The sequence below is a fragment of the Homo sapiens genome, chromosome X (genome assembly GCF_000001405.40).
Source record: "Homo sapiens chromosome X, GRCh38.p14 Primary Assembly".
Lineage (NCBI taxonomy): Eukaryota > Metazoa > Chordata > Mammalia > Primates > Hominidae > Homo > Homo sapiens.
In genome coordinates this window covers 136,694,666-136,707,616 of record NC_000023.11, presented here as the reverse complement: position 1 = coordinate 136,707,616, position 12,951 = coordinate 136,694,666, and the positions used below count along the sequence as shown (strand labels likewise).

Sequence of the window (12,951 nt, the reverse complement as noted above, 5' to 3'; positions counted from 1 at the left end):
AGAGAAACATGTAGAAAAAAGCCCAAGAAACATGTCAACATTTTTAGAGTCAGTATCTCCAAATGGTGGGAGTCTGAGAAATTCATTTTTCTTATTACACTTTTCTGATTTTTCTACAAATGAAGACAGGTGGCTTATAATTTAAAACATTAATTTAAAAACTTTTGAGGCCACCCTGCGTAGCAAACACCAGGCCTCCAAGATTACATAATATTCTTTTGTGGTATGTCATTTTTGGATTTGATTAGTTTTGTCTGTACTCAAACTTTAGATAAATTAACCAAGAATATTTTTAGTGTACCCAGCTAAATTTGAAAATAATCATCTTAAAAACAAACAAGCAACCATACCTACTAATTCCAAGTAAGTATCTGACCCTATGTATTACAACTGTGTTTGGTGGCTAGAGTTTAAAGCAGTGGGCAAGAATTTGAGTTTCATGGGTAAAATGGTTATAATATAGTTTCTCTTTTAACCTTGGCAAAATATTCAGAAGGCTTTCATGCTGCCAGGTTTAATTGGAATAATCTTCCTTTGCCTCCTGTTTCCTATTTTACATTCTGTGTTTTGTCCATTTTGTTTACAGGTTTCCAGAAAACCAGCACAAAGTAGGAGGTTGTCTACTGAGTCTCATGCCTCATTTTAAATCTATGTATCTGGCTTACTGTGCAAACCATCCTTCAGCTGTAAATGTGCTCACTCAGCACAGGTAAATAGTTAACATTTCCCCAACTTTTGCAATGAGATCCTTTCTTAGGACCACGTCATTTGGAAATCCAAGGTCTTCAGTTGGACTCTTGATTATCCCTGTTCATGATGCCAGGAATTGATTCATTGTTACATGGATTGATTGTCCATTAATCCAATGAATAAATTCTTGAGCACCTACTATGTGCAAGGCCCTGTACCAGCTGATGGGGATACAGGAATGAACAAGGAGGAGGAGGTCCTTCCCCTCATTGAGCACAGAATCTTGAGGGAAATGCAGATATTAAATTAAATGTTGTAAACGTGTCATATTATGAAACAGTAAATTAAAAGGGTTCTGTGAGATAACATTAACATGATATCAACTTAGTGGGATGTGAAGAAAGGGTCAGGGAGGGCTTTCCTGAAGCAAAATTCTATTTCGAGCCTATCATTTAGCTTTCCCCTACCCCAATGAATGTTTTTTCTGAGTTGCTGACACATAGCTAAACTGTGTAGCTTCATCTCTTTTTGCCTTCCCTAGTCTGCGTAGAGAAAGTTTTAGGCAATGATGTAGCTACAAAGCAGGTGTGAGCTGTGTGACAGATACTTTAAGCAAAGGGCTCTGATAATAATTATACATGAATATAAGTTGCTTCCGATTCATGATGAACAATAGAATAGTGTCTCCTTTAAGAATACGAGTCCTTGCAAGGGACCTAGATAAGTGTTACACCTCTCCTGCCATCCTTAGCTTCTGACTACCCACCCCTGACACATTCACTGACACATTCATCTGGGCCAGAAAACTGTAGGACAGGCTTAGTGACAGAATTTTACCTTTGAAGTCATATGCTGGAAATCCAGGTGGGACAAAAGCAAGTCCAACATATAGAGACTCTTGACTTAACTTGGAGACTAAGATGCAGAATGGACATGGATTCTGGAAGCTGTTCAAGACTGAAAATAATATTCTCTTAATCTGACCTAGATTTGAGCTCCCAGAGCTAGGCTAGAACATTAGTTGACACGAGCCTCCAGAAATGACAGAAATTTTGGTTCTTGTCCTGGTTTATTAAGGTGCAATATTTATTGGCTTTACAAAGATGTTATGTAAGGACATTTTAAAGGTTGAACGCAGTAAGTCCTGCTTGAAGGTCAATTTTATTCCTCTGATAAATTTTGAACTCTTATGGAATAGCAAATATGGAAATTGGAGTTTAAAGAAAGAGAGGTCATGAACCTGGCATTTTTAGGCAAGTGGCTCAACTGCTTATAGCTAACATTAGCTAGTAATAGCACTGACGATGTGCCAGGCACATGATGTAAAAGCCTATGAGGGAGTTATTATTATTACCATCTCTGCTTTACAGATAAGACATTGGAAGGCTTAGGTTAAGTAATGTGCCCAAGAACTCATAGATCTTAAGTGGTTGAGCCAGAATCCAGGTCTGTCAGACTTCTAAAAAATATTTTTATTAAGACATATATTTTATCCACAGAAAGAATAATGTAAATGCAAATTTAAAGGATCACAATAAAATGAGCACCTGTGTATCTACCACCTGGCTTAAGCAATAGAAAGTTACCCTTTTCTTTTCTCCCTCCCCTCCCCTCCTCTTCCCTTCCTTTTTTTTTTGACAGAGTCTTGCTCTGTCACCGAGGCTGGAGCACAACTGCAACCTCTGCCTCCCAGATTCAAGCGATTCTCCTGCCTCAGCCTCCAGAGTACCTGGGATTACAGGCACGCACCACCACGACCAGCTAATTTTTGTAGAGATGGGGTTTCACCATGTTGGCCAGGCTGATCTCGAACTCCTGACCTCAAATGATCCGCCCACCTTGGCTTCACTTGACGGAGCAAGACTCTGCCTCAGACAAAAAACAAAACAAAAACAAAACAACAACAGCAACAACAACAAAACAAAGTCACTGCACCAATTTATTTTCTCACTATCTGTGTATGAGGGTTTCATTTTCTCCACACCCTCACCAAACATTTGTTATTGTCAGTCTTTTTGATTATAGACATATTAGTGGATATGAAGTGGTTTCTCATGGTGAGATTGATATGCATTTTCCTCAGGAATAATGATATTGAGCATCTGATATGGTTTGGTTCTATGTCCCCACCCAAATCTCATCTTGAATTGTCAACCCTACATGTCGAGGGAGGGACCAGGTGGGAGGTGACTGGATCATGGGGGTGGTTTTCCCCAAGCTGTTCTTATGATAGTGAGTTCTCACGAGATCTGAAGGTTTTATAAGGGGCTCTTCCCCCGTCGCTCTTGCTCTCTTTCCTGCCACCTTGTGAAGGAAGTACTTGCCTTTCCTTCTCCTTCCACCATGATTGTAAGTTTCCTGAGGCCTCCCCAGCCATGTGGAATGGTGAGTCAATTAAACCTCCTTTGTTTATAAATTACCCAGTCTCAGATAGTATCTTTATAGCAGTGTGAAAACGGACTAATACAGCATCTTTCATGTACCTACTGGAAGTTCGTATACCTTCATTCAAAGAAATGTCTATTCAGATCCTTAGCCTGTTTTTAAATTGGGTTATGTGTATTTTTATTGAGATATAATTTATATAACATAAAATTCACGATGTTAAACTACGCAATTCAGTGGTTTTTAATATATTCACAAGGTTGTGTAGCCATCACCACTGTCTAGCTCCAGAACATTTTTATTACTCCCCTCTAAAAACCTGTCCCCAGTAACAGTCACTCATTATTAATGGCTAGTGATGTTGCGCATCTTTTCATCTTGCTTATTGGCTATTTTAATGTCTTCTTTGGGAATATGTCTATTTAAATCTTTTGCTCATTTAAAAAATTCAGTTAGCTATCTTTTCATTGTTGAGTTGCAACAGTTCTTTATATATTCTGGATATTAGATTCTTACCAGATACATGTCTACCTTGGAGATACTGTGGATCCAAACCACTACAGTGAAGTGAATATTGCAATGAAGTGAGTCACATGAACTTTTTGGTTTCCAAATGAATACAAAAGTTATATTTACACTCTACTGTATAGTCTATTAAGTGTGCAATAGCATCATGTCTAAAAAAGCAAGGTACATTCCTTAATTAAAGAATACTTTATTGGCTGGGCGTGGTGGCTCATGCCTGTAATCCCAGCACTTTGGGAGGCCAAGGCGGGCGGATCACCTGAGGTCAGGAGTTTGAGACCAGCCTGACCAACATGGAGAAACCCCATCTCTACTAAAAATACAAAATTAGCTGGGCATGCTTGCACATGGCTGTAATCCCAGCTACTTGGGAGGCTGAAGTAGGAGAATCACTTGAACCTGGGAGGCGGAGGTTGCCGTGAGCCGAGATTGCGCCATTGCACTCCTGCCTGGGCAACAAGAGTGAAACTCCGTCTCAGGAAAAAAAATAAAAAAAGTTTGGAGTATTGTAAGAATTACCAAAATATGACACATAGACACAAAGTGAGTACGCACTTTTGGAAAAATGGCACCGATAGACTTGCTCAACACACGGTTGCCACAAAACTTCAATTTGTAAAAAATGCAATTATCTGTGAAGTTCAATAAAGTACACTGCAATAAAATGAGGTGTGCCTATATATGATTTGAAAAAATATGCTTTCATTTTTTGGGTTGTGTTTTCGGTTTCTTGATGGTGTTCTCTGAAGCACAAAAATTTTGATTTTACATTTTAATTTTGATGATGTCCAATATGTTGTTTTGTTGTTGTTGCTTGCACTTTTGGTGTTGTATCTAAGAAATTATTGCCTAATCCAGGTCATGTAGATTCATGCCTATTTATTTTCTTAGAGTTTTATAATCTTAGCTTTTATATTTAGGTCTTTAATTAATTTTGAGTTAATTTGTGCATATGGTTCCATTTTATTCTTTTGCATGTGGATATCTAGTTGTCCCAGCACCATTTGTTGATTTCTATTCTTATAAATTGAAGTTGTGTTTTATGGCCCATAACGTGGTCTATCTTGGTGAATGCTCCATGTGAGTGTGAGAAGAAAGTGTGACTGTTGTTGAATGAAATATTCTACAAATGTTAATTAGAACCACTTGACTGATGGTTCTATTCAGTTCAACTGCCTGCTTACTAATTTTCTGCTGCTGGATCTGTCAGTTCCTGATAGAGAGATGTTAAATTCTAACCACAATAGATTTATCTCTCTTTTCAGTTCTATCAATTTTTGTTTCATGTATTTTGATACTCTGTTGTTAGGTGCATTCACATTAAGGATTATTATGTTTTGTGGGAGAATTTGCCCTTTTATCATTGTATATTTTTCCTCTTTATCTCTGATAATTTTCCCTGATCGGAAGTCTGCTTTGTCTGAAATTAATACAGCTAGTCCAGCTTTCTTTCAATTATTGTTAATAGGATATATCCTTCTTCATCTCTTTACTTTTAATTGTCATAGATTAAAATATATGTTGTAGACAAAATATATTTGAGTCTTGTTTCTTAATCCACTCTGACAGTCTCATTCTTTTAATTGGCGTATTTAGAAAATTCACATGTTAAGTGATTATTTATATATTTGGATTAGTATCTGCCATGTTTTCTATTCATTGCAATTGTTCTTTGTTTCTTTTTTACCTCTATTTTTCCGCCTTTTCTGTTTTTAGTAAACATTTTATTTTCACTTTTCTCTTAGCATATAATACTCCCTTTAAAAAATTTTACCAGTATCCCTAGAGTTTATGTTATGTATTTACAGCTAAATCTAACAACACTTTCACATAACACTACACAATTTCATAGGTAACTTATAACAGAATATTCTCAATTCCTCCCTCTTATCCCTTATAATATTATTGTAATTCATTTCACTTTTCTATAAAGTAAAATCACCCAATACACTGTTGCTATTATTACTTTGAACAGTTATCTATTAAATCAATTAAGAATAAGAAAAATGAGGCCGGGTGCGGTGGCTCGCGCCTGTAATCCCAGCACTTTGGGAGGCCGAGGTGGGCGGATCACGAGGTCAGGAGATCGAGACCATCCTGGCTAACACAGCGAAACCCTGTCTCTACTAAAAATACAAAAAATTAGCCGGGCGTGGTGGTGGGCGCCTGTAGTCCCAGCTACTAGGGAGGCTGAGGCAGGAGAATGGCGTGAACCCGGGAGGCGGAGCTTGCAGTGAGCCAAGATGGCGCCACTGCACTCCAGCCTGGGTGACAGAGCGAGACTCCATCTCAAAAAAAAAAAAAAAAAAAAAAAGAAAAATGAAATATTTTGTTTTACCTGGATTTATTATTTTTGATACTTTTTTCCATGTATCCAAGTTTTGTTTGTTGTTTTTAAATCTATATCACTTTCCTTCTCTCTGAAGAACTTCTTTTAACATTTTTGCAAGGCAAGTCATCTGGCCACAATTTCCCACATTTTTTGTTTGTTTGAGAAAGTATTCAGAATTCTAGGTTGTCATTTTTTTCCTTCAACACTTTAAATATTTCATTCCATTCTGTTGTTTGCATGGTTTATAATGAGAAGTCTGATACAATTCTTATCCTTGTTCCTCTACAGGTAAGGTGTTTTTCCCTGTCTGGCTTCTTTCAAGATTTTCTCGTTGCTTTTGCCTTTCTGCAGCTTGAATATGAAATGGCTAGGTGTAGATATGTTTTGCTATATATCCTGCTTGGTGTTCTCTGAGATACCTGGATCAGCAGTTTGGGGTCTGTCAATAATTTTGCAAAATTCTTGGCCTAATAGGGTCAACATTTTAAATATTTCTTCTCTTTTCTCTTTCTTTTCTGTCTATATTCCCATTATGCATGTTACACCTTTTGTACTTGTTCCACAGTTTTTGTGTATTCTCTTCCATTTAAAATTTTTTTCTTTACATTTAAGTTTAGGAAATTTCTATTGACATATCTTGAAGCTCACTGTTTCCTCAGCTATGTTTAGCCTATTTGTTAGACTATCAAAGGCATTCTTCATTTCTGTCACAGTGTTTTTTATTTCAGGCATTTTCTTTTGATCATTTCTTAGTGTTTCTATCACTCTGCTTACATTACCCATCTTTTATTACATGTTGTCTATCTTTATCTGTTAGAACCTTTAACATATTAACCATAGTTATTTTGAATTCCCTAATAATTCCAAAATTTGTGTCATATCTGAGTCTGATTCTAAAGCTTGCTTTGTCTCCTCAGACTGTTTTTTTCTTGCCTTTCAGCATGCCTTGTAATGTTTTGTTGGAAGGCAGACATGATAAATTAAGTAATAGGAACTGAGGTAACTAGGTGTTTACTGTGAGGTTTTCTGTTAATCTGACTAGGATCTTGCCTGTGTTTAATGTTTGCTGTAGCTGTAAGTATGAGGGGCTTTAGATTTTTTTTGTTTCCTTTCCTTCTCTCTTATTAACTTTGGCTTTCTTTCTTTCCTTTCTTTCCTCTTTTTTTTTGTCTCACTGTCTCCCAGGCTGGAGTGCAGTGGCGCGATCTCAGCTCACTGCAACCTTTGCCTCACAGGTTCAAGCAATGTTCATGCCTCAGCCCCCTGAGTAGCTGGGATTACAGGCATGTGCCACCACGCCTGGCTAATTTTTTTGTATTTTTAGTTTAGACAGGGTTTCATGAAGTTGGCCAGGCTGGTCTCAAACTCCTGACCTCAAGTGATCCACCTGCCACAGCCTCCCAATCCTGCTGAGATTGCAGGCCTGAGCCACCGCGCCCTGCCTATCTTTGGGTTTCTTAAGAACTCCTTCTTAAATAGAGTCTGTGTCTTGCAGATCCCTCCCTGTAATCCACTGTTATTATATATTGGGGCCCTGTCAATGTGGTGATAAGGTGTTGGGGAAGGGGACACATTCTATAATGTTATGAACAAGTCTCAATTTTTTAGTAGACCTGAGTCCCTGGAAATTGACCTCCAGAAGCAATTCTTAGCCTTTTTTAGTCCTCTCACATATGGCAGGAAGATGAGAGAGGGCTGAAGCTGGCCTATTGTACCTTCCTCAGGTCAGATAAGACTTGGCAACATAGTTTCCCTTGGAAGACAGGCCTTTGTTTTGGAAAAGGTTCTGGGATTATTTCAAAATGGATGCTCCACCCCGCCCCCACTCCTATCCCAAAACATGAGAGGATTTTTCTCTGATCTTCACTATGGAACATTTTTGGGTTTTTGGATCCCAAACCCACAAAAGCATTGCCCCGCCTCAAGATGGTTCTCCAGGAGCTTTTAAATCTCAAGTTGGGGTCCACATTCAGACTCCAGGAATTCATTAAAATCACTATGCAAGTGTTCCTGCCAGTTACTGGGTCCAGTGGCTTCTGCTTTAGGGAAGCTAATCTCAGCTGTAATTCTCTGTATTCACTGTTTCTCCAGATTTTGAGGTGGTGATTTTTTCTGTGATCTCAATTCTCAGTAAATCTAACAAAAGTCATTGATTTTCAGTTTGTTCAGTATTTTTTTAATTATGACTATAGTGTGATGACTTCCAAGCTCTTTCGATGTCAGAGCTGAAATCAGAAGTGCTTTAATGATTTTTTCACTATATTTTATTTTTTTATTATTTTAAACGTTTTTGTTATAAATTTTCTCTATAATATTTCACTATATTTTGGGGTGTCTTTTAGTGGTTACTCTAAAACTTTCCATATATATCTTATCAGAATGGACTTCATTTTTTATGCTAACTTAATTCTAGTTATATATAAAAATGTGACTCCTGTATAACTGTTTCCTCTTCCCTTTTTGTTATTATTATTATAAATATGAACTCCATATACACAATAATACATGCTATAATTGTTATTTAATTTTATGTCCATTAATACAACTGAGAGAAGAAAGGAAAGGAAAAATATATTTATAGTGTTTGTTATATTAACTTTCTTATTTACCATTTCTATTTCCCTTCATTTTTTCCTGTGAATTTGTGTTACTATCTGGTATTATATTCTTATTCCAACAGACCTTTGCTCCCACCTTTCTCCTTCATGCTGTGGTTTTCAAATATATTAAATTTATGTGTGTATAGGTCCAACAATGAAATTATAAAATTTTGCTTTGGCCAATTGCTTTTATATCAGTTAAGAGAAGAAGAAGCATGTATTTATACTGTCTTTCATAATTGCATATTTACCTTTATTGGTGCTCTTTGTTTTAATATGTGAATTTAAATTTAAGTCTGGGTTTACTTGCTTTCAGCCTGAAGGTCTTCACTGAGTGCTTATTGTAAGGTGGATTTTTAAGAAAGGATTCTCTTAGTTCTTGTCTGGGAATGTTTTCATTCCACCTTCCATTTTGAAAGATAGTTTGGATGAATACAGAATTCTTGGTTGGCAGTTCTGTTTCTTTCAGTACTTTGAGTATGTCATCCCACTGCCTTCTGGCCTCCAAGATTCTGATGAGAAATCAGCTGTTAATATTATCTAGGTTCTCTAGCCCATGACGAGTTGTTCTTCTCTTCCTGCTTTCAGTTTTCTCCTTGACTTTCAGGATTTTTATTATAATTTGTTTGAGTGTGGACCTCTTTGCATTTATCCTACTTGAAATTCATTGAGCTTCTTGTATGTGTGGGTTGATGTTTTTCTCAAATTTGGGAATTTTAGTCATTATTTCTTTGCATATTTTTTCTGCTCCATTCTCTCTCTCCTCTCTTTTTAGTACTTCCATTATGTATATGTTCTTTTGCTTAAAGATTTTCCATATTTCTCTGAGGCTGTATTCGTTTTTCTTTATTCTTTTTTCTCCTTTTTATATTGCATAATCTCTATTGATGTATTTTAAGTTTACAGATTCTTTCTTCTGCCAGTTCAGATCAGCTGTTGAGCCCCTCTAATGAAATTTTAAATTTCAGTTATTTTACTTTTAAACTCTAGAATGTTCATTTGGTTCTTCTTCTTTCTTTTTGTTTACAATTTCAGCATCTTTATGGATGTTCTCTATGTGGTGAGACATTGTCATCATAGCTTCCTTTACTTCTTTAAGCATGGTTTCCTTTTGTTCTTTGCACATATTTATAATGGCTACTTTGAAGACTTTATTAAGTCTGACATTTTGCCTCTTACTGACAATTTCTGTTGTTTCTTATTTGTGTAAGTTACACATTGCTGTTTCTTTGTGTGCCATATTGTTTTTTGTTGTTGAGAACAAGACATTTTAGGTAATTTTAGATTTCACAACTGTGATACTGATTTCATTCCCCACTCTCTGGGACATGTTTTTGTTGTTTGCTTATGTGTTTGTTTAGTAACTCGATTTGACTATTTTAGTGAAGTCTATTTCGCTCACAGAGTACAATCTCTGGTATCGCTCTTCAGAGGGCACAGCCTTGGTCAGGCATGCAGTCACTCTGGAATGACAGTGGTCTTAGCAGAGCTGTCTTTGACTGTCTCACTCCCTGATCTCTCCTTTAAGCCCCGTTTGGTATCACATCCAGGTGTTAGGCTCTCCTAATTTCCAGCTGATTGGCTCTAATATTTTTGATAATTTCATGGGGACATAAATTGCTCCACCATCTGATCTAATTAAGTTCAAGTGGAGACACTTTTTGAGACTAGACTTTGAGGTTTCTTCTGATCCTTCTTAGCACTTCCTGGCTGTCTGTTTCCCTGGTTCTCTCTCTGGTGACCTAGCTGGCCTATGGGTTAGCTTTTTGCACTTAAGTGACAGGAGCTACCTGCCTCCTTTTATTGGCTTACTACCAAAATCTCCTTTGTTTTGGCAAGAGCTCTTAAGCTTGAATATCCCCACATGCCTTTTTTCCAAATAAAACCAATTTCTTCATGGAGAGCTTCAGAACTCTTCTGTTCCCATGGACTGCGTCTCCCTCTGGGCAAAATCTCACTACTCTGGGAGCTGGGCAGCATGGGTACCCTCTGGTTGCCTCTTCCAGCTTGCCTTTTCCAGCATGGAACTCTCTACCCTACACTTGGGCTGGGGTGAGGGTGATTGGGCCTACTCTCCAGCCTGTGTCGGGGCTGCGTGAAGTGAGCTTTCGACCTCTCAGGCACACTTACCAGGAATTTAGCCTCTTTTACACAGAGTTGAAGGGGAGAGATGTGCTGATGACCTGTCCCTCCTGGTGAGATATCATATTTTTTGACTGGTAGCTGAGAGGCCAGGGAGGCCTCTCTACTTGGTCACAGTTGCCCGGAATGGAGCTTCTGTCAAGCTGAGTTGGGAGGAGGGAGAAAAGGGAGAGCTGGTCATAGCTCAAATGCTGTAAGTTCTCCCTGTTCTTACTGAGTTTTAGTAGATTTTCCTGAATAAATACTTTTTTTCATTTATCTTATATCATTAGGACAACTTCTAGATATTTTATTTATTTTTATTTTTATTATTATTGGCTTTTCAGAGACAAGGTCTTGCTCTGTCACCCAGGCTGGAGTGCAGTGATACAATCATAACTCAACGCAGCCTTGAACTCCTGGGCTCAAGCAATCCTCCCACCTCAGCCTCCTGAGCAGCTGTGACTACAGGCACACACCACCACACTCAGCTAATTATAAAAAAATTATAGAGACAGGGCTTTCACTATGTTGACCAGAGTCTGCTGGTCTCAAACTCCTGGGCTTAAGTGATCCTCCTGCCTCAGCCTCCCAAAGTGCTGGGATTACAGGTGTGAGCCACTGCGCCTGGCCTAAATGGTTTTCACCTGCTACGCTTTTTTTTAACTGAGTAGTGCATCCAATGAATCTCATGCCACCATCTCAAAAGTGGAACTCCTTACTGTTTCCTTTTCTGTCCTTCTGTGCCCTTGCCTGATCTGAGCCTAAACTTTTTATCACTTTTTTAATGTCTCACTTCACAATTCTACCACTTAGAGGCTGTTTTACCCAAGGCAATTCACTTCATTTCTAAGCCTTAATTTCCTCACTTGTAAAATGAGGGTCAAACCACCTACCTTGCAGGATTGATGTTAGTATTAAATGAAATAATGTATACTAAGCACCCAGCACTGTGTCACCATGCCCTATGTGTCCTTTAAACATCTACCTACCAGCTACTAGTTTCTTTTTAGGAAAAAAAGTATAAAATATTTCAAGCATACAAAGAACAGAGATAATATAAAGTACATCCACGTACCCACTATTCAGCTTAAGAAACAAATTATAGATGCAATTCAAGTTCTGTGTATCCCCTTCAATATTTCCTGCTCTTCTCTCCCTCACCAGAGTGAACCACAGTCCTAAATTTGTTTTTGTCATTTCCAGGAATGTTTTCATACTTTTCTACATATCTACAATAAAGAAAAAATGATTCACAGACTTTTTTCCTTTGATGAATTCATAAATGTCCTGTGAATATAAGGGCAAATTCCTTAACACCAGTAAAATGAGCACATGTTCTCCTTTTGATATGAAAACAATATTCTGGATGAATACTGGAAAGAAATGGTTTACCTCAAGTGGCAGACTTTCTGTGGTGTTTAGAGAAGTTTCCATTGTAACTCTATGTGTTAAAATGTTACTGACTACATTTACCTATGTTGGGAATTTAATTTTATAATTAAGTAAAGCTTCCCTCAAACATTATGGTTTGATGTTTGTTACACAGTTGATTTAAAAGATTCTCAAGTTTTTGGTGAAGTATAATGCCCTGTTTAATTTTAGTTAACGGTGTTTTTGAGAATTTTATAATATCCCTTGAAATGATGGAAGACTCACTGGAGTCCTCATAGAACTAAATTTTTATCTTACTGGTTTATTTACAGGTAAAAGGGATGAAAATTAAAATACTTGAGGTTTTTCTCACATGTGCTTTTAATATAATCTCAACTATTTTACATGCATCTAGTGGCAATTTATGCTGACCTATTAAAGGCAAAGCACAGTGAAATGAAATTCACAGAAAATTCACATTAAACATTTTTTAGATGAAGATTTCAGCTGAAATAGGGACATTGGTGGATTTCTGTTCTTTCCTTGCTGAAGCTGTGATGTTCAGGTGAACTTCTTCCTTTCGGCCTTTAGGTGGCAATACCATACCAGGAATGCTTATAACAATTGGCCCTGAGAAGGGATCCAGCCTTAAAATTGTATGATTGCATGCAGCTGTCTTGTTAAAAATGCAGTCGTGTATGGCCTGAATTTGGATATGTAATCAGACCCCAACCTTGATGTGTCCCCATATTTGCATATATTTGAATGGCCGCTCTAGTCTTTTGTTGTCCCCTGGGTGAGGTATTTCGGGATTTCCCCTCCCTCTCCCCTGCTAGCTTGCTATGGTAGCTCCTGTTTCTTCCTGGGAATAACCTCTCTTTTACAAAAATACCCTCTTCTCTCCTGTGCTTGCTTCAGTGTGGC

The 12,951-nt window shown here is 37.6% G+C and overlaps 1 protein-coding gene across 12 annotated transcripts in view, besides 1 other annotated feature; it reads left to right on the top strand.

Moving 5' to 3' along the window:
- The window catches only part of ARHGEF6 (Rac/Cdc42 guanine nucleotide exchange factor 6), a 115,383-nt gene that overhangs the window by 73,316 nt on the left and 29,116 nt on the right, over positions 1-12,951 (top strand). For all 12 annotated transcript variants that reach the window (NM_001440993.1, NM_001440996.1, NM_004840.3 and 9 more), the window contains one exon: positions 587-709. In NM_001440993.1, coding sequence (NP_001427922.1) covers positions 587-709 — 123 coding nt within the window. The remainder of the gene's footprint in view (positions 1-586; positions 710-12,951) is intronic.
- Positions 12,737-12,836: an enhancer, noted in NCBI's record as "active region_29994". NCBI's record gives its function as "activates an Ori minimal core promoter by ATAC-STARR-seq in GM12878 lymphoblastoid cells {active_cell/tissue: GM12878}" and the evidence as "EXISTENCE:reporter gene assay evidence [ECO:0000049][PMID:35858748]".